General features: G+C 44.0%; 1 long non-coding RNA gene across 1 annotated transcript in view, besides 1 other annotated feature; it reads left to right on the top strand.

The window, feature by feature from the left end:
• LOC105373162 (uncharacterized) overlaps positions 1-22,114 on the top strand; it is a 31,087-nt gene extending 8,973 nt beyond the window's left edge. Inside the window, exons 2-4 of the long non-coding RNA XR_001737830.1 lie at positions 9,002-9,165; positions 9,981-10,166; positions 21,912-22,114. This is a non-coding gene — a long non-coding RNA (uncharacterized LOC105373162). The remainder of the gene's footprint in view (positions 1-9,001; positions 9,166-9,980; positions 10,167-21,911) is intronic.
• Positions 40-235: a silencer, noted in NCBI's record as "fragment chr1:229993502-229993697 (GRCh37/hg19 assembly coordinates)". NCBI's record gives its function as "represses an EF-1alpha promoter that drives an FKBP-Casp9 reporter gene in an ReSE screen in phorbol 12-myristate 13-acetate-treated (for megakaryocytic differentiation) K562 erythroleukemia cells {active_cell/tissue: K562(+PMA)}" and the evidence as "EXISTENCE:reporter gene assay evidence [ECO:0000049][PMID:32094911]".
• Positions 22,115-26,518: the final 4,404 nt, after the last annotated feature.

Here is a 26,518-nt window from a genome sequence, read left to right as displayed (position 1 = left end):
GGCCCCATTAGCAATGGGCCTTCCCACCACCCAGGAGCCAGGGATGGGCAGGAATGGTTTCCATGTGAAGGGTTTTCTCTGCTTCCTGGTCTGCAAACCCTAAGAACCTCCAGAGTGGGTGTGTAATAGGAAAACACAAACCATTTTCTCCACTCTCCACACTTCCAGAGCCCTTCAATTCTGACACCACAGTCAACACAGAACACTTCGGTGACTCAGATGTGTGGGTTTTGTTTTTTTCCCCCACTGACCAGTTCTCCAGCAGGGTGTCTTACAATTCAATTTAATTCTGGCTCGATCTGAAGTCAGCACAGATCCCACAGGTTCAGGACTCAGTCCCACAAGCCTGCCCCTAACTTCAGACTCCAACTGCAAGGAGAGGGTCTTCAGGCTACCCGCGACACTAGTCTAACTTGACTACAAATGGAGGTTCTCACAACCTTTTTCTCGGGTTTGATCCTTTCCTAGAGGGGCTCACAGAACTCAGGAAAACAGTTTGTTTTCTAGGTTACCTGTTTATTACAAAGGATACAACTCAGGAACAGCCAGATGGAAGGGATTCCCAGGGCAAGGTCTGGAGGAAGCTGCTCGGGGCCACCATATCTCCCCAGGGTGCACCACCCTCCCTGCACCCCCCTGTGCTCACCAACCCAGAAGCTGTCAGCACAATGTCCATTGGGGTTTTTAATGGAGGTTTTCATGGTGGCCAGCAGAGTAAATACAAGCTGAGTATCCCTAATCCAAAAGTCTGAAATCCAAATGTTCCAAAATTCTGAACTTCTTGAGTGTCAACATGACACTCAAAGGAAATGCTTATTGGAAAATTTCAGGTTTTGGATTTTCAGATTAGAAATCTTTAACTGGTAAGTATAATACAGACGTTTCAAAATCTGAAGAAAAAAATCTGAAATCTGAAATCTGAAACAGTGCTGGTCCCAAGCATTTTGGATGAGGGATACTCAACCTGTATATATATTTTTTCTTTTTTTTTTTTCCTTTTCCTGAGACGGAGTCTTACTCTGTCACCCAGACTGGAGAGCAGTGGCACAATCTTGGCTGACTGCAACCTCCACCTCCCAGGTTCAAGCAATTCTCCTGCCTCAGCCTCCTGAGTAGCTGAGATTACAGGCACACACCACCACGCCTGGTTAATTTTTGTATTTTAAGTAGAGACAGGGTTTCACTGTGTTAGTCAGACTGGTCTCAAACTCCTGACTTCAGGTGATTCACCCACCTCAGCCTCCCAAAGTGCTGGGATTACAGGTGTGAGCCACCACACCTGGCCTATATTTCTTATTCTACCACAAAACCACCATGGGGCTGCTCAGGTTGGGGAACAAGGAAAAAGCCTAGCTCATGCCAGACAGTCTGATACACCTGGCTCTTCCAGGTCCCAGGTGTCTGCTTGATTTTCAGTGCTAAACCGAGCTTCTGAGTCGGAGGCACCTTCCCTCCCAGTTTCACGCACCAGCAGGGCCCTTTTGAGCACTGAAGCTGTGCTAAGGGGAGGGGCTGGTGGCTCCTCTGTGAGAGCCTGGGCTGCTGAGCAGCTGTGGGCCTTGCAAGGCCCCTCCCTCCCCAGAGCTGTGCCTTCTCCTGCACGCTCATGTCCAGAGGGGGCTGGCAGGACCAGTGGACCAGCAATGTCCAAGAGAAATTTTGAAGGAAATTAAAACCATGGCTTGCAAGCAAAATAGAATGAACATGTAGGGGAAAAACATAATTTCTTTGCCTTTTTAGATTCTTAGTGGAGACACTCTCTTGAAAACGAAAGTCAGATTAACGAAAGAGAAAAGCAGAAGTTTACTAACCTTGCTGTACCCATCACACGGGAGAGGCCTTAGTTCAAAAGGATTTCCCTCTCAAGGCAGTGGCTTTGGGGTCTTGCTTAAATAGCACTAAAGAACTAAAAATCCTATGTAGTGACAAGACAAGAAAGAGAGTATCTTCAGGCTTCCAAAAGGTGGGAAAATGAGGGAAAGTAAACTAATGGGAAGAGTGAAGTCCACTCCTGGGTCCTCTGGCACTGCTGTCTCTGAGCTCTGTTTCTGAGCTGATAAAGATAGGAGGGCAGAGAATATCCCTGTGTTTTAACTTTAACTAAAATGCCCAGTATTTTAGAGAGGAATATTTTGATTTCCTTCAAATGCAAGCTCTTGATTTTATTCAGCTCATCACTTAAGGAGAGAGCCAGAGAGTCAATAATGCTAGTCAAATGGCATTTGATGCACTGGGATTTATGTAGCCCACTGGGAAAGGCACACTGAAATCGATTTTTCAATGTTTGTGACAAAACCGGTTCATGTCCTACAGGGCAATAAATCGGTGGATTATCTTTTCACTAGATGGGAATCATTTGCATCTCTACTGGACAAACATCTACAATATAACATGGAATGCCATAGAATCTGAGTCCTCAATAGTAAATGGCAGTCAAACAACGGCCCATCCTCCTGAAAAGTAGATCATCCTTGGGCAAGCCTGTGAAGCAAAGCTCCTGTATGACTCTGGAAACATTCTTTCATCCCCTTGGCTTTATTTCCAGATTTTGGATTCTTCTGGTCAACAGCACAAGCTTATAACACCCCTGCAAAAGCCACCCAAGTCACACATTCAGCTGTGGCTGCTCCACAGGGACAGGCATCTTTGCACATAAAATATCCCTAGAACTTGGAGGAAAACAGTTGCCATGCCAGTGGGGATTCTTCCCTGAATCTGTCTTAAGTGAGATACTTGTGCTCTCAAAATATTTTTGCTACATTTATGTGTCTTGTATCTCCAACTATGTTGCAAACTTTTTGATGGCAGGGTCCATGTCTTCTAAATCCATAGACATCTAGAAATATAGATCCTTTGAGATTTTTAGTTCAATGCCCCCATTTCTCAGATAGCCTGTGACCCAGCTTTATTAAGGGACCTGCCCAAAGCCAACTGACTAGGAGGTGCAGAACCAGGAGAAACAAAAGACTTTCAGATCCCTGCCCCATGTTCTGCCCAGCCTTGCTTCTCTACCCCCAGCACAGCTGTGAACACAGTATATATGGGTGAGACAGAAGGATAGAAGAATGGATAGACAAATGGTAGGATAGAAGGAAGAAAGAAAAAAGAAAGGAAGGGTGAAAGAAAGGATGGCAGGAAGGATGGATAGATAAATAAATGGGTAGAAAGATAGATAGATGGAAGGACGGATGGATGGATGCATGGATGGATGGATGGATGTAAAGAATTGACAGAAAGATGGAAAAAAGGAAGAGAGGGAGGGAAGGAGAGAGGGAGGGAAAAGTGAGCAGATGGATGGATGTGTGGATGGATGCTGAAAATAGATTATCCTTTTTCTCTTTGATGAAGAAAAGAACTTGTGACCACTGGCACAATTATTCACTTTGCTCGTGGGAGATGAAAAATCAATTCTAGCTTTGCAAAATCTCTTCCCCAGTGTCCCATGCCTGCATTTTTTCTTTTATTTTAAAAGTAATGCATGTTCAATTTTTACTTTTAAAATGAATTTTATTGTGCATATTTGAGGTTTATAACATGATATTACAGGATGATATAGACACACAGAAACATATAGAAACAAGCAGACTGAACAATGGTTACTATGGTGAAACAGATGATCACATCTATCATCTCACATAGTTCCTTTTTTTTTTCTGATAAGACCAGCTAAAATCTACTTATTTACAAAAATCCCTAGTACTGCTTCTGCGTTTTTGTTAGGGACAGTCAGCTCCTCAGGGGTTGGGGGCAATGGTGAGAACTTCATCTTTGGCAGTGGTTCTCTCCCGAGGCTACACGTTGAAATTTCCTGATCCCAGATTTCCTCCTCAGACCAATCCCATCAGAACCCCTAGGAACTGGGCCCTGGATCACAGTTGTTTCCCAGCTCCTTGGGGTAATACTCCCTGACAACTGCAGTGGGAGTGTGAGAAGTCAGCGTGAGGGGCGCGGCCCCAGGTCTTCCTCTTAATAGGAAGAGCCACCTTGCAGGGAGCCACTGAGACTTCACAGCTGGGTTCTACTCTCTGGGGCTCAGAATTAACCCATCAGCTAAAATGCCTTTCAGCAGGCCCCCTTGGGTGAGTGGAGAAAGCCAGACCTCTCCTCTCCAGGGGAGTGAGTAGCAGACTATTCAATGGCCTTTGCTAGAAGTCAGTTTCCCAGATGGTAGCAACTGGCATTGCCTCCTAAGGCCAGAGCAATGGGCATCCTGCTGGCAGCCCCTGAGGAGACCTTCAGTGTTGTGGGGGCAGGCGGTGGGCAGTGCACCTGCTCTACATAGAATATTTCTGAATCGTTATTATTAATTTGTACTTACATCCTTCTAAGAAAAGAATAGCTCCCCATGGAGCTTTAACTTTTATCCAAATTCGCTATAAGAAATGGACATATGACAGCTTCTGAATTTTTTGACACCGCTTTTGAATACACTGTCCATTGTGTTGTTCAGAGTCACTATAAAGGGGCCTTAACAACACATCCCTATTAGAGTTAATGACAGGAGAGTGTTTCTTTCTTTAAATAAATGGAGTATCCTTTCGGCAAACAATTAGAACCATTTTTGCTTTCACATCAAGGCAGAGCTACTTTTACTACTAAATTACATCAATTCCTGCCAGCCCTGGCCCCGCAGAGCATCATTTTCCTCTTGTGCTCTGCGTCTAAACCTCGGCTGATGGCTCATGATCTCTGTCTTTTTGTATCTTTCCTACATATGTATTTAATGGGCATTTATGGGATGCCAGGCCCTTTACATACATTATTTCATCTAAACTGGACCAGAAGAGCGGCCTAGGAAGTGAGAACTCGTGAGGTCAGCACTTTGCCAGTTTTTGCAACCTCCTAGGCCTCCTCTTGCTGAGGCAGCCACCACCTCAGAGAAGGGTGCCTGGGAAACACATAGTCCACACTGACTTTATTCCTTTGGACTATGGTGGCACCAGAGCCCATCTGTAAAGGACACAGCTCTGGAGCTTGACAAACATCAAATATGAATTAGCTACATGTCCTTGAACAAGTCTTTTACCCTCCCTAAACCTCCATTTCTCCCCTGTGAAATGCAGATATGAATATCTACTTTATGAGGACTAATTTGGTTCTCAGAAACAGACACTCACTTGGAGACGAATGTGGGTTACATAGGAAGTTCCTGGGGCCCAAGGCAGAGCTAGTGGGGGCCGTGGGGGAGACAGACGGCCCCCAGACCCAGTGCCTATAACTCTCAACACCTCCCCAAGCCCTTCTCTGTGTTCCAGCTTCCAGAGGCCTCCGTTTACCCTGCTACGATGCTCTGAGGCACACATGATAGGACCTGAGCTCTGAGTCTCTCAGGGCAAATGACCAAAGAAAAGGGTCTGGTTGGCCCCACTTGGGCATACCCGGGTCCAATGGGCTCTGGCCACAAGCTAAGCATGACCTACAAACAGGAACGGTGGATGAGGGCTGGCAGGGGCAGTGCTCAGAGCATCTGAAACATCACTTCAGAGGACTGTCAAATGCATTGATTGAAATCATGTAAAACACCATGCAGGGTGCATGGCACTCAATGGGGTGGGGAGGGGGAATTATCGCTGGACCAGACTTAGTACAGCTCAGGTCTAGTCATGACAGAGGCAGTGAGTGTGTCATCAGCATGCATTATGCCATTTGGTGACATTTTTAAATTAAAAAAATAGTCAACTTTATTTACGTGTAATTTGTGTACAGTAAGCTGCGTTCATTTTAAGTATACAATTTGGGCTGGGCACAGTGGCTCAGGCCAATAATCCCAGCACTCCAGGGCATTGTGTAGGAGGATCCTTAAGGCCACGAGTTCGTTCAAGACCAGCCTGGACAACATTACAAGACCCTATCACTAAAAAAAAAGGTAAACAAAATTTGAAAAAAATAATAATAAAGTATACAGTTTGATGAGCTTTGATATCACTGTCCTGGCAAAGACATAGACTGTGCAGAATCACCCCAGAAAGTTCCCTCCTGACCCACACACTTTACCTCCCTCTCCACCCCCTGGCTCAAGCAACCACCAACCTGCTTTCCGTCACAACAATTTCATTTGAAATGTCTAGAATGTTCTACAAAGGGAACCGCATCAGAAGTATTCCTGTGTCTGGCTTTCACTCAGGCTGATCATTTTGAGATTCACCCCTGTTGCTGTGTGTCAGAAGTTGGTTCCCCTTTCTTCAACAGAGTAGTGTTGCCTGTACCACTGACCCCTCATTGGCCCACCAGTCCTGGCTGGTGAATGCTCTTCACGTAAGGGGTGAGGTCAGCACCAGGCAGATGATCAACACAGCAGCCCTGCTTCATCCGGCTGCCTGACACCCTCTGGGGAAGTCAGACGTGAAGCAGCTCTGTGCCTAGCTCCTTGTTCCATGACAGCCACAGTAAGCGATACTGGAGAAATGCAGGCCCAGAGGGCATGGGCGCCTGAGGGCCAGTAGCCTTGAGGGAGGAACATTTGTGCCAAGGTAGAAAAGAGGTGTTTCTTTGACGAAGATGCCAGAAAAGGCCCTGGTGTGGAGCGGTGCCCTGGTGAAGGCTCCGAGGCCAGGAGGGGATCCTGGGAGGGAGACAGGGGCTGGATGGTTCGGCTTGGTCAGGTGTCTGGAATTATCCCAGCGACAGAAGAGTTTCAAGCAGATGAGTGGTGTGATTAGGTTAGCTGTTTACCAAGGCCCCTGGCCTTGGTCTGAAGAATGGACCTCAGAGCCAATGGTGAATGTGGGAGATGGACGAGGAGCTTTGCCACAATCCAGATCAGAGCCAGGGGTGGCATGAATCACCCTGAGGACCTAAGGCAAAGATCAGGAGACGGCAGGCTCCTGGGGACATAAAATGTACTTCAGTTTAGGGACCTGGGGTCCCATAGCCAGGCATAGGAGAGAGACCTGGGTGCTGGGAGGAAGACTGTCTGGCGGCACTCCCTGAGCTCCACTTGCTGGATGTGGCCTTCCTAGCAAAAGACAGTTGCTCTGTCTGGAAGCCCTGCTCTGAACCCAAATCCCCAGTTGGGTCTGGGGCGGGAGCTGGGTGTCCTGCCCAGCTCTGCAACCCTCCTGAAGATCAGCTCTTGCATCCCAGGCCCCTGGGCACCAGTGTGAGTCTTTCTGGGAATCCACAGGGCTCTGGACTCCTCTGAGGCTCTGGCCTCCCCGTGAAGGTGTCCAAAGAGGCTCCGTGTCCCTAAGGGCTTCCCCTCCACCCAGATCCAAGGCTGCAGGCCCCTTGGAGAAGCTTCAATCAGGTGGCCTCTCTCTTGGTCACAGGAGTCTCTTCCTGTCCTTAACATTTGTTAAAGCCCCTCTGTTCTCTTACTCCTGTTCTGTTGCTCCAGCCAGACTGCTCCCCTCTGCTGACGCTTGCCTGTGGGCCCGTCCTCAAGCTGCACCACTGGGCACTGCCTTTGGGATGTTTTGGCCCCACACCCAGTATCCCACTCACTGCTGGCCTTTCTCTAAGCCCCAGAACCTCTACAGCCTCATGGGGCCAGAAGGGGAGGGAGGACAGGGATCTCTCATTGCCACCTGCTTCACCCTCTGTAGGGTGCCCTGGCACCAGGCTTACCTGAACTGTTGTTGATGGGTCTGCCTCACCCTGATGCCTGGCCCTGCTCTGTCCCACTGCCCTGGGACAGAGGACAAGGACATCCTTTGTAGTCCCCATGTCCCTCTAGCCCGTTGGTCACTGCTTCCTGCCCTCCTGCTCCTCTGCTGAGCCCTACTGTTCTTCCTTCTGGAGGATCCCAGATTCCAGTTCTAACCAAAAGCATACCCCATCAGACAGCCATACCTGTGAAGATAACGAGTCCTGGGTCACATAGAAACTTAACACTCTCCAGCCAGGTGCAGTGGCTCCCTGCTGTGATCCCAGCACTTTGGGAGGCCAAAGCAGGAGGATCACTTGAGGCCAGGAGTTTGAGAGCAGCCTGGGCAATATAGTGAGACCCCCATCTCTACAAAAAATATTGTTTAAAATTAGCTGGTCATGATGATGGGTACCTGTAATCCCAGCACTTTGGGAAGGTCGCTTGAAGGCAAGAGTTTGAGACCAGCCTGGGCAGTAAAGCAAGACTCTACCTCTACAAAAAAAATTTTAAAATGTAGCCAGGCATGCTGGCATGCACCTGTAGTCCCACCTACACCAGAAGCTGAGCTGGGAGTATCACTAGAGCCCAAGAGCTTAATGCTGTGGTGAACTATGATTGTGCCACTGCACTTCAGCCTGGGTGACAGAGCAAGACCTGTCTCAAAAAATAAAAAAGAAAGAAAGAAACTTACTCTGTGTGGTGATGTTGGACGTGAATCAGGTGTTAGGGAAAGACTGTATTCACACTCGGTTTCCTTTTGCCAGTAATTCTACATAATTCCCAGTTTCATGATGTACTTCTTATGGAATTTCACTTGAATGGCTTAAAATTATGTACTTAATTACCTACAGCTCCATTTGCCGTGATCAATGGTTCAGTCCTGCTAAGGTGACACCTGGCAGCAGTCATTTACAGTAAGCTGGCAGGGGCTAAGTGGGAAGGCCAGTTCATTCCATTTGTTCACATCGTCTATCGAAGATGCAAAATGTTTTTTTTTTAATGAAATATCTTAGACAGACCAACACCTCAGGCCAAGGAAGCTACATTTCACCAGGTGCTCAAGAGCTAAACGATCCCCAAGGTCCCTAGAAGCTGTACCATACCACCATTCCACTGCAGCCATAAGTGGCCCTGTGTCCTCTAGGGGCAGTATTTCCAACAAATTGCCTTGATTTTTTTTGTTCTTCTGCCAGCAAGACGCTTATGCCTGTCTACTTAATTATGTTTAATGCTTCTAGCTAAACTGACTTGTTTGAAGGGGAAGAGACTAATTCGCACACCAATGCAAATAGAACGAACATGAATAGATTATGGGAGAAGGAGGGAAGTATTTATTGTTTATCAAAACAGCAATGCAGACTCCTCATTGTGCACATGAAAGTCTACTGATATTTGTACTTTATGTTTATACAGTACCTAACCATGTGCAAGAGCTTCCACATACATGACCTCATCATATCAAGAGTTCTTCAATGATACGACTTTCATTCCTGTGCCAAGTCAAAGAGTTTCAGACAAAGTCAAGAGACCCTCTTGCTTCTACCTGTGGCTCTAAGACAACCTTGATTCAAACCTTGGTAAGTCTTTTCCACTTTGTGCCTCCAAAAACAAATAGTTGAATCTCACTCCCCATTTCCCATGGGGCAAGAGGCTAGTGAAGCATGAGGAATTTACTGGATACTCTTTGGAAGAAGGGAATTAGGACCTAGGTTGTGGCCTCATTACCTTAGATCCCAAGCATGCTAGTAGGCCTGCAGTTGTGTTACTCAGACTTATGGTGGGGTTTCAGAATCTGAGACTTTTAAAATAGGAAAAGAATATTACTTTTCCCTATTACCATTTAGAAGTAACTGAAGCTATTTTCCACTGACTTCACTAAAAATGCCACTACTGGGCTAAAAACAAGCAGAAAGTGTTTGATTCTGATGGAAAATCCTTTCCAAATTAATAGAATGCAACCAAGGGGTGTACCTAGAGTGGTGCATTCCAGGATGATCAAGCTGGGAAGAATCAAGGAGATCACCTTGCCCGATGCTCCCATTTTACAGATGGGCAAACTAAAGCCCAGAAATCGCAGTCTGAGGTCCTCCGGCAAGTGTGACAGAGCCAGGGCTAGAATGCAGACCTCCTGACTCCCAGGCCTGGGTTCTTTCCACCACCTGCGCTTCTCAGATGGGACACCCACTCCCAGGAGGCACCTGGTGGTGAACCCAGCCCATGCAGGGCCATGGGCCACATGTGCTGTAACTTCTGGATCAACAATTCTACTTGATGTGTTTTAGGACTAACACTGTGCAAAACATACAGCAATCTCTCATTGAGTAGAATGAAAAACTCCCATAAATTTTCACGTGACACAAATTTCTACAAATGCATGTTGGCCACATGGTAGGTCACCGTGTGCTGAACCCCCAGGTGCCAGACTGGAACGGAGATGTTTGGTTAGGACAACTTATATGGAGAACTTGGAGAGGCGCTGCACTTTACCATTCAACATCAGAACACCACCACTGCCACTCTAAGAAATGGAAGGTCATGCCTCGTTGAACCTTCCTTTTTGTTCAAGAAGACTAGAAAGGTGGGTGAAAAAAGTCTTTCCTATACCTTTTCTAAAGCATTCCTGCAACAGATTTGATGCTGGTTTGCACTGTCAAAGCAGCATTCAACAGGGCAAAGGGATGCTCTCGAAGGATACTCCTGCCATGGGGCTGCCAGAAAGAAACAGAGCAGTGACCCTACCCAAGCCCACACGTCCTGGTCCCATCCCTGTAGGAGGCCAAAGATGTTCCCCAACAGATTTGCCTTGGTCATTCTGCTGCTCCTGAACCCTGGGACCTGTAACAGAAACCCTTTTCTCCATCTCCACATAGAATTCCTGAGGGGTACTGGGGGTGAAATGAGAGGATGACCAAATAATTTAGCTTACTCTGATAAAACTTTTCAGGGAAACTGGCATGTTCAATGCAAGTCAGCAAGGTTGTATGTTTTAAATTAAGCACCTTGGGACCAGGCAAAGTGGCTCAAACCTGTAATCCCAGCACTTTCAGAGGCCCAGGAGGGCAGATCGCCTGAGGTCAGGGGTTCGAGACCAGCTTGACCAACATGATGAAACCCCATCTCTACTAAAAATACAAAAATGAGCTGGGCATGGTGGTGGACGCCTGTAATCTCAGCTACTCAGCAGGCTGAAGCAGGAGAATTGCTTGAGCCCGTGAGGCAGAGGTTGCAGTGAACCGAGATTACGCCCTTGCACTCCCGCCTGGGTGACAGAGCAAGACTCTGTCTCAAAAAAACAACAACAACAAAAAAAATTAAGCACCTTGGGAAACTCTGCATATGTGTCATCAGCCACCATGAGGGTCCAAAGCTTCCTTTATGTCATATTCATGACGAGTTTGTTCATTTAAACACCACAAGGCTCTGAATAACACAGTGGATAAAAACTGTGTGAGGAAAGAAAATATACCTGTGAGGAGGAGAAAAATAACAGGGCAGAAAGAGGAGGGGTGACACCGGGCCGTTAAGCATTCATTGGCATTTGGTGACTGGCACAGAGAGAATGCACTGTGCAGGGAGCCTGGTGCCCCATGGAAAGTTCCCGAAGCAGAGGCAGCCACAGTGCTTAGAATATGGCTGCTCGGTATTTCCACAGCATCTAGAACATCTTCCCTTAGAAAAGCCTTCCTCTGTCTTCAAGTGGAGGCACACGCTATGCATTTTTTTGTTTGCTTGTTTTTTTTTATTATACTTTAAGTTTTAGGGTACATGTTGTAAATGACAAGCTACGCAGTTTTAACTTCCTCTTGGAGACAAGGGGATTATTATGTTCCCTCTGCCTGGGGCAGCCTTCGCTGCCATAAACACACCTGGCCCCCACCTTCTCAGGTGTTTGCTCAGCAAGGCCTCCGGTCATCAACTTCTTTAAAATCAATCCCCATTCCTGGCCCCTGGCATTCTTCTACTCACTCACCTGCCTTATTTTTCTCTTGAACACTAATCATTGTCTATTACTATATATTTAGTCGTTTATATTTTTAATGTCTTGTCTTCCCCCATTAAGACTCCATGAGAGCAGAGATTGTGGTCTCTTTTGTTTACTGGATTTCCAATGCCTAGAACAGAGCCTGCCACATAGGCTGTATTTGAAAATTTTCATTTCTGATAGTGCCTTTCAGTACAAACACCTAAAGCTGCTGGGGGAGACATCTCAAACATTCTTTTGAACGCCTGACTAAGATGATAGCAACAAGCACAATCCTGAGAGCATCAGAAATGAGGTTTTTTTCTGAGACTCCATGCTGATCCCTGGGGGCTGAGATCAGGTTCAGAAGATGATGGGGTGATACGGGTTTAGAAGTAGCCAGGTGTCTGGTCAGGGTGGGAGATCACGTCAGAAACCCTTCGAGAAAGTCATCATTCCTGTAAGGTAACACATCCCCATGGGTGAACTAGGGCACAGCCCATCCTGCAGAGGGAGGCAGAGGGAATAACTGCCTGTTTTTGCCTTGGTTCTGAAATAGCAATCCCTCAATCAATCAATCAATCACATACCTTCTGAAAATTCCTAGCCACTCACCCACACTCATTCAGATCTGGAGTCTGAATTCCCACTCTATGAATGGCCTCAAAACTTCCAAGACAAATATCTACATAAAGTAATCCCAAGTTGGCGCTTCCCCAGATCTTGGCAAAGGAAAGTGTCAATTCCCAATTCTCTCTGCAAAACACAACTCTAAGAAGTACAAGGGACTTGAGCTCCCAGTCAAAAGTCACTAAATATATGAGGAAGTAAGTCACCATGAGAAAGTCAGCAGAAGCTACAAACCACAAAATAAGTACTGCAAAAACAACAGGTATGGCAATCATCAGATACAGAAAAAAAAAAATCTATTATTACATTTAAAGAAATACCAGGGAATTTCAGAAAAATATCTAAGTGAAGAACAAAAGACTATAAAATCACTAGGTAGATCCTAAAAGTACCAAGCAAAACTTCTAAAAAGGGAAAATATAATTGATATTAGAAACTCAATGAATGACTTAAATAACGTATCAGATTCAAAGAGAAAATTGGTGAACTGGAAAGTAAATATTAAGAAATAGCACACAAAATGAGACAAACAGAGAACATGAAAAAGAGGTATCAACGGAAATAAATCACCAAGAAAGAAGACCCAAAATATATGTTTTTAGAACATCAGAAGAACATAATAGAAACAGCAGAGAAAAGCCACACTTTGTAGAAATAATGACCAACAAATTTCTAGAATTGATGAAAGACACCAATCCTTAGATTCAGCAACACCAAGGAATCTCAAGAACAATAAACAATAAGAAATGAACACTCAGTCTGCAAAACTCTAAACAGTGCCTGTGAAGCAGAATAACATACATCAGTATCAATCCCTGTGAGGGGAACACTGTGTACCTGTTGCTAATCCTAGAGGAACACTCAAAAGTCCTTGCATTTTCTGCTAAGGTTCCTAGATATGGCAGGCTTCCAGGTCTAGCAGGAGGTTTTGCACTAGCCCGGCTGTCCCAGTGAGTCTGGTGAGATGGAACTGTCACACAAGTCAGGCAAAGCAGATTTACAACTCACAGGTGAGCAGCAAAGATAAACAGAAGCCGAGGATCCATGGCAAACCAGTCCCTCGGGTTCAGGAAAGCTGCCCAGGGCAGATGGAGTCTTGTCTACACGTGCCTCACTTCGCATCCCAGCCGAGAGACCCTGAAAGGGCTGTGTTTTGGTTTTTATACCCCAGGGGCAACATGGTTTGCTGAGCCCAAGCTTTGCAGGATATCCTGTTCTAGGAAGATGTCCTGGATGGATAAATCCCAGCCTGTTTCAGATGGTTCCTGCTTATCTCAGGGTGTTGCATTCTCAGTACCTTCTCTCTGAGAATTGCAGGCAAGAGGGGAGAGAGCTGGGTTGGCCAAGAAAAATTTGGAGATTTGCCTCCTGCCATGCCTTCCCTCCACACCAAAGACACTAAAAGCACTAAAAGTCGATGGAAAGAAAAGCAGATTATCAACAAAAAGAATGACAATTTCATAAAATCAACAGCAGTAATGGTATCCAGAAAACAATACAACAATATTTTCAATATCCTAAGGGAAAGTTCTGGTTTTACGAGACTGCATAGGCTAATAACAACTGAGCCAAGATATCACCGACTTTTTACACAAAGATTTATTTTATGTTTGTCCAAAATCTCCTATTAATCAAGTGACTCTCCAGGACATTGTGTACCATACAGTGAGTGACTCATCAATCCAGGCTGCCTACATCTTGAGGCTCCACCATCTCAACACATGGCCTGCAGAATCACCAGAGAAGGAGAAGAGCTAAAGGGTCATGCTGGAGATGCTCACTGTGCCTCAGTCCAGAAATGACACCTGTGGCTCCGGCTCCCAGTCCATCAGCCAGAGTGACTCACAGGGCTCCACCCAGCTGCAAGGGAAGATGTTGCAGGGGAGGGGAAGAGCATGTGAATGTTCAGGAAGCACTGAAACTCCTGCCACTCTTCCAAGGACAAAGGCAAAGTAAAAACATATACTGATAAACCAAAACTGTTAGAATCTGTTACCAACTGATTCTCATGAAAGGAACTTCTTTAATAAGACAGCATTTAGGAATAGGGAAAATGATCCCTCCCACCAAAAGGTCGGAGGTGCAAAAAAAAGATGGTGAACAAAGAAATGGCAGCCATGTGAAAATTAAGTAATTACTGACTGTATCAAACAATAGCAATGATACTCAATTTGTAGGATTAAGAAAAAGCTCAAGCTGGAAACGAAATTCTAGACAAAAGCAGCATAATCCTGGAGGGATATGACTAACAGTACAGTGTTTTATGGTCCTTTTACTGTTCTAGAGGACTCTGTCAAGTTAAATATAGATATTAAAATATCTAGGGTAACCACCAAAATAACAGAACTAAAATGCATAATTTTCAAACTTTTAGAGGGAGGAAAAAGTGAAATGAGAGAAGAATAATTCAATCAGTCCAATAAAAGACAAGAAAGGATGAGGGCAGGGGGAATGGAGAGACAAGATAGGACAGGAGTACAAAATAAAATCATATGAATAAATAAAATTATTTTAAAATTATGGTTTTTTTATTTTTCTTATATAAATGAATAAAATTATATCAATAATTGAAACAAGTGTAAATGGGCCAAACTCTTAAACTAATAAGCAAAGATTATCATTCTTGTTTTCCTAAGTCCAGCAATACACTATCTATAAGAGCTGTATCTAATCACAATGAGTAAACACTTACGTGGTCCTCACCATGTGCCAAGCACTGTTCTGTTCTGACTACGCCGTATTTATCTATTTAATCTTCCCAATAGCCCAGTGAGACAGAGACTGTTTTGATAAGAAAAGTAAATCATAAGGACACTGTGGGAGGCCACGGCAGGCTGATTGCTTGAGCCTAGAAGTTCAAGACCAGCCTAGGCTACATGGCAAAACCCCATCTCTCCAAAAAAATACAAAAATTGGCCAGGCGTGGTGGCATGTGCCTATAGTCCCAGCTACTTGGGAGGCTGAGTTGGCAGAATCGCCTGAGCTTGGGAAGTTGAGGCTGCAGAGAGCCGTGACCATGCAGCTACACTGCAGCCTGGGCAACAGAGTGAGACCCTGTCTCAAAAAATAATAATAATAATAAAAGTTAATCATAAGGAAGTGAAATAATTTGCCTGAGATTAAATAACTAATGAGAGTGTGATTTGAACCCAGGAAGGCCCCTCCTAGAGCCCATACATTTAGCCTTTGTATTACACCACCTCTTAACCCCAGAAAGGGTGAAAACGAAGTAACACTGAAAGATATACCAGGTAATATTAACCAAAAGAAAGCTGACATCATGACATTTATATCAGACTTTAAGGAGAAAAGCATTATCAGCAATAAAGAGATAAAAAAATAAAGATCACAAGAAGATTTAATAATTCCGGGCTGGGCATGGTGGCTCACACCTGTAATCCCAGCACTGTGGGAGGCCAAGGTGGGCGGATCACTTGAGGTCAGGAGTTCAAGACCAGCCTGGCTGAAATGGTGAAACCCCATCTCTACTAAAATTCAGAAATTAGCCAGGCAACATGGCGGGTACCTGTAATCCCAGCTACTCGGGAGGCTTGAGGCAGGAGAATCACTTGAACCTGAGAGGCGGAGACTGCAGTGAGCTGAGATCGTGCCATTGCACTCCAGCCTGGGTGACAGAGTGAGACTCCATCTCAAAAATAATAATAATAATAATAATTCCAAACTTCTATGCCCTTTATAACATAACTTCAGAATACATAGATTATCCAGTCTGTCCCTGGATCTAAGGGAAAGAAAAGAGCATAGAGTAAAAATGGACAAAACTACAAAGAGAGGTTGACAAATACACTATCACAGTGAGATTCTTTAACATACCTCTCTCAGTAGACAGAAAACCAATAAGGCTATAGAACATTTGAACAAGCTTGATCTGTTGGAGACATATGAAACATAGCACCCAACAACTCAAGAATACAAATGCTTTTCCATGTATATATGGAACATTCATAAAAATTAATCACATACTAGAACAATAAAACACAAAGAACAAATTTCAAAGCATTATCCAAACCATGGTTTCTGATCACAATGCAACTACCTTAGAAATCAATAATAATAATACACAGCTAAAAATAGTGGTTTGACCAGAGGGTAGACAATTCAGATGAAGAATGTGCCAAGTTAAACTAAGAAAGTAGCACTAGGAATAGAAAAAAAAAAGAGGATGGATTCTATAGATATGTCTAATATTGGCAAAGAAGGAGTTGAGGAGATTGCCAAGGATTATAGCTCAGACAACTGGAGGTTGGCAGCAGAGCCACTAATCAAGAAGTGGGGAAATCTGCGAAAGAAGAACGTGTGAGGGAAGAAGTGAAAGTGATATCAGCTACTGCAAGGAGTTGAAACAGGATGAGGGCTAGAAAACAGGACATTAGCCCTGCCTTCAGCGAAACTAATTTCATCAGTGCATAAAGCCGTGGGTGCCAAATCCAGACAGGACTTGTTTGAGGAGTGAACCGGAGGCAAGGAATGAGTCAGTAAGTGTGGATCTCCCTTTTAAGAAAGTTAACAAGGAAATAATTTAATAAGGAATTGTATAAGAATTTCTTTCTTTTCTTTTCTTTTCTTTTTTTTTTTTTTTGAGACACAGTCTCACTCTGTGGCCCAGGCTGGAGTGCAGTGGCACAATCTCGGCTCACTGAAACCTCCGCCTCCCAGGCTCAAGCGATTCTCCTGCCTCAGCCTCCCGAGTAGCTGGGGTTACAGGCATGTGCCACCATGCCCGGCTAATTTATGTATGTATATATATATATATTTTTTTTTTAGTAGAGACTGGGTTTCACCATGTTACCCAGGCTGGTCTCAAACTCCTGAGCTCAAGTGATCTGCCCACCTTGGCCTCCCAAAGTGCTGCCCACCTTGGCTCCCAAAGCATAAACCACCACACCCAGCCAGGAATTATATAAGAAATGTAATAAGGAAAGAGGGATATGGGAAGAGTCAGAATGCTAAAGAGGGAAGGATTTATTGTGTTTTCTAATTAATATTTAGAAAATAGATTTGGGGGTACAAGTGCAGCTTTGTTACATAGATATATTGTGTAGTGGTGAAGTCTGGGCTTTCACTGTAACCCTCGCCCAACAGTGTACACTGTACTCATTAGGTCCTTTTTCATCCCTCACCTCCACCACCCTCCCACCCTTCCGAGTCTCCAATGTCTATTATTCCATACTCTATTTCCACATGTACACATTTGGATACACATTTAGCTCCCACTTACAAGTGAGAACATGCAGTATTTGACTCTGTTTCTGAGTTATTTCACTTAAGATGATGGCCTCCAGTTCGATTTATGTTGCTGCAAAAGATATGTTATTCTTTTTTGTGGCTGAGTACTATTCCATGACACACGCAGACACACACACACACACACACACACACACACACTCATCACATTTTCTTTATCCAGTCATCCATTGATGGACACTTAGGTTGATTCCATATTTTTGCTATTGTGATTAATGCTGCAATAAACATATGAGTGCAGGTATCTTTTTGATATAATGATTTCTTTCCCTTTGGGCAGATACCCAGTAGTGGGATTCCTGGATTAAATGGTAGTTCTATTTTTAGTTCTTTGAAACATCTCCATACTATTTTCCATAGGGGTTGTACTGATTTACCTTCCCACCAGTAGTGTACAAGCATTCTCTTTTCTGTTTCCTCACCAGCATCTGTTATTTTTTGACTTTGTCATAATTGCCTCTGTTTGTGTTAAACGGGAAGACTTGAGAGAGTCAAAAGTAAAATAACTATGTACACAGCCACTAGGGGCTTCAGTGATCCCCTCCAACAGCTGCCCTCCATCATGACTGCATGCCACCCTGCTCACCGCCCTTTAATTCTTGTGGGGTTGTGGGGCTGGAGAGATGCTGCTGAGCCTGTTCCTGTCCTCTACCATCCCCAAACCCGATTACCAGCCCCTTCCCCTTCAACAGCTCCCTGCCCTTTCTAAATCCCAATGCTGGAGTCATGCCAACACTGGTGACAACCCCCAAGTTGAATAAAAATTGAGAGAACTGTAGTTCTCAGTTGCAAGGAAAAGAAAAGCCCCAGAGTAAGACGGGGTGTGGTGAGGTACCGGACAGAAGGAAGGTGGGTGCATCGTATCCTTGGGAAGACGCATTGCTCTTTCTGGTCCCAAATGATTGGTCTTTCTAAAAACTACTGCGGGATTGAATGGGTTGTGGTGGGATGGGACAATAAAATTCTCATTTTAACATATGCAGGCAACTTGAAAATGGTATTGTATCGGAGCCAAGCATGGGCTCTCGCTAAAATTAAGGATGCACGTATTAGACTTCTTCTTTTGTAGTAGCAGGATGTTAGGAACAAGCACAATGCCTTGGAGGATAATGAAAGTACAGTGTGCAGAAGAGGAACCTGAAATTGTTATAATTATCATGGTAATTGTTAGTCAACCTCCTAAAGCAGGAACACAATGGAGCCAAATTATGTTACCTTCAAGTGATGATCTGGTTCCTTTCCCATTTCTTTGTTTCATTGTTTCCTCCCCAAGTCCCCTATTCTGGTGTTCCCTCCCGCTCCCTGGCCGACTCAGACCTTCTCCTCCGTGCTCCTTGTGCCCTTGCCTTTGTCAGGGATGGCTCACAAACTATTTTAATAATGTTTTTCTTATTAAAATTTAATATATGTGCATTGTGCACATTTTATAAAATATGTTTATCGTAGAAAAGTAAAAAGAAGAAAATAACAATCATCTATAATCCTGACCACCCAGAGATACTCACTGAGTGTTAACATTTTCATGTATGTAATTCTCTTCTTTCTTATGTGTACTCTCTCTATACCTATACGTATATGTCTATATATAAAACTTTATTAACATAATAGCTGGCACCAGAATTGCTCTTCAGAAGATACCTGACTTTGGTTGGAAAGATGCTTAGATAAATACTTGCCATAGTTAAAAGTTGAGAGAGTCCCAAATTACCCCCACATCTGAGAGCCAATGGGGGAAGATCCTGTAAATATCCCAGGGAAAGGAATTCATTGTTTCCAGAGGGGCGAGGGAGAGGGAAGGGAAAACAGAGAGGGGGACGAGTGGAATGGCACAAAGCTGTGCACTTCATTATGTGACTTCTTCATGCCCCCTCCCCCCACACCCCCGCAATCCTCAATGAAGTTTGCTGAGCTCAGGAAAGCCTGGTGTAAGTGACTTCCATGTTGTGGAAATAAAAGAAGGGGCTGAATCCATATCATAAGCAGTGGTTGAGGCAGCCCTTGAGGAAGATGGAATCGCAGAAGCAAAGGAGATCAGAAAGATGTAAGACTCTGCACCAGCCTGCACCCTAGAAATTAGAGGAAATCTCAAAAAGAGAGTAGGGCCTCATGGGAATTTCATTCAGCATTCAGCAGACAGAAAGGCCAGTTGCCAACTTCGAATTACACACACACGCACATGCTCGCACACGCATACACACATGCACGCAGAGCCAGAAACCTCTCCCTTTTTTTTTTTTTTAAAAAAGGACCATATTACTTATAATTGATATAATTTACAAATCGTGATGATTAGTCTTGCTTCACCTATGCACAAATACCCTGTGATCCAAGTATATACTTCACCTGGTAGTGCCAAACCAGAAAAATGACCATGCAAGTCGCTGAAACCATGCAAAGCCATCATCTCAGTAATCAATGGGAGAAATTATTACTGTCTTACGGCTTTTAAAAACTCCCCTGCTGTCAGTTATAAATAGACAGGGAAATTAAAAGCTAGTAAAACGAATAGTTATTTAGTACACTATAATTTAAACATTAGAAACATTCAAAATTAAAGTGTTTTATTTCTTTGTAAAAAAAATACTAAGAGGTGTTTGAACAGTGGCTGCCTTCTTCTTATCATAAAGCTTACAATACTGAGTGAGCCTCTTTTTTATGCCTTGGCAAAGCATCCTACTCCTTTATAAGTCTGGATCTGTTTCCAATATTTTATCCTCAGTGCTTTCAATGTCATGGAATATCTCGGAGAGTTCCATTAACATTAAATTTTTTGCTGATGCCACTTTCTTGGTTTTTCTATTCTCTGAACTTTTAATATACAATTTATATAGAGTAGTTTCATGCAGACCTTGGTCTCTCCTAACTTTGCTTTCTTGTTGTTATTTTCAAATCATTTAATCATGTTCAATTTCACTTCCAGCAGGTGAAATTCACTTTCTTTGTTGTACTTTCATCTTTGTTGTCCAATTTCTTCTTTTGATTATCTTTTTTTTTTTTTTAAGATGAAGTTTCACTCTTGTCACCCAGGTTGGAGTGCAATGGCGTGATCTCGGCTCACTGCAACCTCTGCCTCCCGGGTTCAAGTGATTCTCCCACCTCAGCCTCCTGAATAGCTAGGATTACAGGTGCCCACCACCACACCCAGCTACTTTTTGTATTTTTAGTAGAGATGGGGTTTCACCACATTGACCAGGCTGGTCTCAAACTCCTGACCTCAGGTGATCCACCTGCCTCGGCCTCCCAAAGTGCTGGGATTACAGGTGTGAGCCACCATGCCCGGCCAATTATCCATTTTTGTAAAATGACACAAGGATTATCACTGGGAGACAAGGAGGTGACATGATCACACACTTTGCCATCTATGTAAAAACTGGAGTCCTGGATAACAGATGCAACAGACTTTGAAAGAAGTGGCATGGTTGGCCACTGATCATAATATGCATCTGTTATTTACTTAGGAATTAGTTGGAAAGAGCTACAATTATCCACAATTAATATATTGTGGTAACTGAAAGCTGAACGATGTTTCTGAGGGACTGGTATACACAGGAAGACTGCCAGTATATACTTGGATCACTAGTACAGTTTTAACTCAACTGTAAAAACTGAAATTCTTGCATGCAAAACAAGGACTGTCTGTACAATGTATTTTCTATACTTAGGGTATAAGAAATAAAACTTAATTTGGAATTCTTAGTTCAGGTTCTCACTCAAGTCTCTCTTTTCTGGAGTTCGTTTCTATTTTTTCCTCCCTATCCTTGCCATCTTCTCTCTTATTTGAGATCCCCTAGTCTCTTCACCCCCAATTCCCACTTCCCTAAGTTTCTTGTCTTCTTCTTGGCTCTGTTTGGGCCACCTGAATATTAAAAGAAAAGCTTTGGATAAATTAAATTTAACAGAGTTTAATTGAGCCAAGAACGTTTCACATATCAGGCAGCCCCTGAGCCAGAGCAGATTCAGACCCTGGCTTTGCCACGTGGTGGGAGAGGATTTATGGACAGAAAGGAGAAAGCGACGTACAGAAAGCAGAAGTGAGGCACAGAAACAGCCCGATTGGCTGCAGCTCGGTATTTGCCTTATTTGAATACAGTTTGAACAGTTGGCTGCCTGTGATTGGTTGAAGTACAGCTTTTGTGATTGGCTGAGACTCGGCTACTTGTTCCAAGAGTAGGTTACGGTCTCTTTACACATCCAATTGGGTTCACTATGTATGGAGCAACGTTTAGGCTGAACTTTAAATAGGTAAGGAGGCAGCTTTAGGCTAAACTGAATTTAACATGAGAATAATATTAAGGTCTAGAGAATGTTTAGACTGTCGATGGTACTGCCGCTCACTGACAGCCTAAATGGGCTGGGCTTGTCCCCTGAAAGATAAAACAAGGGAAACCAGCTCCCTAAATTAAAGGCATAAATCGTTGTCCAATCCCAAAACCAAGACACCATGGAGTGTTGATAGATTTTTTCCAGGTATCATCGCTGCGATTCTACCTGTAAAAGAACACCTTGAGAAGACGCCATTCATCACTCTGTCTGGGGGTGAGTATAAAGATGGCACCCAGAGGACCATCAAGGAGAGAAAACTCCAGGAGAGCTCATGGAAATAGTAACACAGCAAAGGGAGAAAGAGAGAAAAGTCGAACTCTGAGTTCCTCTCTAGGGGAAAGGAGGAGGTAAGGAGATGGATGGGATTCTTGAGGACCAGAAACTGTGTGTGTGCTGCAAACTCATTTTGTAATCACTGGAGCACCTAGTCTCTTGCATGGAGTGGCTATTCCTCCGGTATTTGTTCCACAGAGAAAAGACCCCTCATTTGACCTTCACCGGTGATGGGGGCCTGGGTTATTCTTATTTCTTCGGAGGAGGGATGCTGCTCTGTTATTTTCTATAAAATGGAGAAAATTGCCTCCAACTGACCTAAGGTAACTAATTAGCAATCTTAAGGGCGCTTGGGGGGGGGGGGAACACAAGTCATTTGATTAATAGAGCACAAACGAAATAGGTGAGGAGAGGCAGCCAAATGCATCTCCCCGAAACCCAGTCAGCCACACAAACTTTCCATATTCACTGGAACAACGGGGCTGGAGGCAGAAGGTGTTTGTTTTGCTCTGATAACAGGCAACCCCAGCATTTGGTGCCTGCTTCAGGGAGCCAGTGGAGCAGAGGCAGAAGCCTGAAGTAGCTGGGAGGAATTCAAGCAGACTTGAAGAGGAAAACAAAAGCTCCTCTGCATAAAATCCCAACAGCAATCTGATTTGGGCTCGTTATAATTCTGTCTTCACCTGCTTCTAATGGTCTCCCTCTTGGGGAAAAAAGAAATCAGAGACAGCTGATGCCATATAATGAATTCTATATGCAAAACAAACAGAGAGAAGGCTTTGTACCATTAACATGAGATACCACCACCCAACGCACTCTTTGCGTTTTGTTTAATAGAGCTACTCTCCAGACCCCTCATTAGCTGCTCTGAACAGGGAGGGAGAGGCCCAGCAAGGTGGTTCCAATAAAGTGATTTTTTTAGTTCCTGAGATCTGGGGCAGCTGGCAGAAAACTGTTTGCAACATAGACACAGCCCCTGAAGTCTTCTTCTGTCTTCTATGAATTCACTCATTTTTTCCTCCAATTAAAATAAAAAGAACAAACGGTCCGATAAAGAATGTTACTCAATTTATAAATTTGTTTATATGGGCTAGGGTGGTGGCTCATCCCTGTAATCTCAACACTTTGGGATGCCAAGGCAGGTGGATCACCTGAGGTCAGGAGTTCGAGATCAGCTTGGCTAACATGGTGAAACCCTGTCTCTACTAAAAATACAAAAAATTAGCTGGGCTTGGTGGCGTGCGCCTGTAGTCCCAGCTACTAAAGAGGCTGAGGCAGGAGAATCACTTGAACTTAGGAGGCAGAGTTCAGTGAGCCGAGATCGCGCCACTGCACTCCAGCCTGGGCAACAACAGTGAAACTCCGTCTCAAAATAAATAAATAAATAAAAATAAATAAATTTCTTTATATGAGAAAAATGCCAAGGAACAGAGATTAAAGCACACTTAAAAGTTTTTTGGTTTTTGTGTTTTGTTTTTGTTTTTTGAGACAAGATCTTGCTGTGTCACTCAGTGCAGTGGCATGATCCCAGCTCACTGCAGCCTCAAACCCCTGGGCTCAAGTGATTCTCCCACCTCAGCCTCCTGAGTAGCTGGGGCTACAGTAGGCACATGCCACAATGGCCAGCTAATTTTTTGTATTTTCGTAGAGATGGGGTTTCACCATGTTTCCCAGGCTGATCTCGAACTTCTGGGTTCAAGTGATCTGCCCGCCTCAGCCTCCCAAAGTGCTGGGATTACAGAGGTGAGCCACTGGGCCTGGCTACACACTTAAAAGTTTAATGGCTACAACTATATTTAAATTAGATGAAATAAAATTGATTAGATTCTAGAAGATGATATATATGAGTAATACATATATTTGGAAACTACAGGAGTATGAAAACATTTAGTGTTCCAATTTCTTTAAGGCTGTGGTTCTCAAAGTGTGGTCTATAGATCACCAGCATGGATGGTGAAACTTAAAAATGCAGAATCCTTGGCTTTACCCTTGGATATACCAAAGCAGAATATGGGGGAAAATCACTCAGGAATCTGCAATTTTTAACAACTCACTCACTAAATTTTGCCATGCTGGTCTAGGGATTATCTGTGAGAGAGGAGCAATTGGTCTGTCTAGGAATACTGTCAGAAAACCTACTCCTTGGCCCTGGACCCGTTCCATTACTGGACTTCTCTGCTTTTAGTAATGGCTTTCTTTACAGGGAGTTATAATGACAGCCTTCGGGTGTTGGATCTGCTTTCCAGATATTTACAGATTAAATGTGCTTCAGTTAAGATAGTGAGCCTCACTGAATGCCTGGCAGGCTGTGGCTTCTCGTGGGGACAGAATAAACATGTGCCAGTGGGACTGGACAATTGTCCTCAAAGATCAAGACTCTGGTGCTCAACTTCGATTCTCAGGAGGCTCTTGTCCTGGTGGTAGGGTGACAAGCAGTCTCAGTCTTCCCAGGAATGAGGCACTTCCCAGGGCATAGGATTTTGGGGTTTAAAATCAGAAAAGTCTTCTTCAGCAAACCAGGGTCTGGGAATCCCATTTGGTGGTAATACTATACCCTAGCAAGAGAGACTAGGAACCCATTGCCTCATTCTATTTATTCTGTGCTGAGAAATATAATTCCTAAAATGTGTTGATTAGTCAACTCAATCTTTCTACCATAGAAAAGTCTGAGAAACCAAATTACCATCAAGGTTGATTTGTTAACAAAACTATTGAGAAAGAAGCATTAGATTAAGAGACACTTTATTTCTGTGAGCAGTTTGCAAACCAGGGAGATGCAGCCTCCAATACAACAAAGGTACACTCAACTGGAACAAAGAAAGGGGTTGTCCTTTATAGAAAAAGTTTTTTCCCAGGCTTCCACTCCAGTATGCTATGCAAATGAGGGTTGCAAACTTGCTTAGTTCTTACTGGTTGATGTTAAGATTGACCAGAGGTTATAGTTTATTGGTTGGGTCCAGGTGTTGGCAGCCATTGATTCAGGCAGCATAAAAAGGGACAGATATGAGTGTCCCAAAGTTATGGAGTGTGTGGTTTTTCCAGGAGTACAGAGTACATGTTTAACCTTTAGTCAGTAAATGGCCGCTTGGGTCCATTTGAATTTAGGCTCAGTTAATCATTCACGATCAATCTTGAAGAACTGGCTTTTTCAAAGTAGACAGTTCCTGCTTTTGATCAAAACCTGTCATCAGACAGCTCTGGTGATTGGTGGTGGGTTATGTCCCATCATGGTGCCAGAGTGGTCGGCTTCCTTCTCTGGGCCCATCTAGTCCCACACTGGGATCCTCATGGCAGGGCAGTGGTTAGTTGAGCAACTAGAGCCATTTACCTACAAGAGGCAAACAGGTACCTGTTAAATTTGAATTAAAGTATCTTGGGTTAAGTTGGTTCATTTCTGGTATTTCTGGATGGAGTGAGTTTAAAGTCTTAAGGTATTGGGTCAGCATGATTCTGGTGGGAGTCTCTTGCAGACATCTCTTAAAACAGGCAAGAATGATTTTAAAGAGGAGCCAAATACTTAGTCCAAGTATGAGGAGGATCATTAAGTAAGCATTGTAGAGGGGAACACAAAAGGGATACTATACCAGACAGAAGTTGTAGTAGATCCAGTCAAGGGCTTTCTGAAGGTGTCCCTTTCAGAGATTTGGCTAGCTTTAGGATCTTGGATATTTCTAATTCAACTGACTGGCAGTATTTACCCAGGTGCAATGAGAAGTGTTAGTGACCACACAAACACCACCCAAGGAGATAGTCTAATGCAATGCAGTTGTCCAGGACCACATAAGCAAGGGAAAGTAGGGACGTCTGTTGTGCCATGATGGCTTGAGTGGTGGGCTGGGCCATTCTCTTAACAGTGTGGGAAAGGTGTCTCAACATATATTTCTCCCAAGCATGGCTCAGTCAAAATCATTACCCTGGAATCCTTCCTAATCTATAGCTCCTCTACTTGGGTTCACACCTCTGGGTAAACTGCATCCTTGGCAGTGTTCACAACTGTCATCTTCATAGTCTGAGGGGTTGTCACCAGGGTACTCATCAATTATTTATAGGACTCTTTTGACCCTGACCCTGGAATACAGACTTTATAGTCTCAGAGTTAGGGAGATAATGGTGATAGGAGAAAAACTCAACCCAGAAACCAAATGCCTGCATTTTCCCAGGACCTGAGACAATGGTAGGCAAAATCTCAGCCAAGATACCTGCAGCCAAAAAGACAGCCTGGAGGGAAACATAATTGTCCCAAGAGGTTATAAAAATCCAAGGAGCCACTTACAGACAAAAAAGAGGGTTCGGTCAAACCAAGAGCTGGTCTTAGGTAAAGACAGAGAGGTATGATTTAACTGGAAGACCTGGGAAGTCAAGGGGGAAACTCCATGGTTTCTTTCATATAATCTTCAGAGGGGGGGTTCCACTAAACATTTTATTTTTACAGGATTCTGTGAGGTATGCAGAACAGAGGGGCAGTGAGTATTCATTCC

The sequence above is a fragment of the Homo sapiens genome, chromosome 1 (assembly GCF_000001405.40).
Source record: "Homo sapiens chromosome 1, GRCh38.p14 Primary Assembly".
Taxonomy (NCBI): Eukaryota; Metazoa; Chordata; class Mammalia; order Primates; family Hominidae; genus Homo; species Homo sapiens.
Note: the sequence above shows the minus strand (reverse complement) of the source record. Positions and strands in the feature narration are given on the sequence as shown.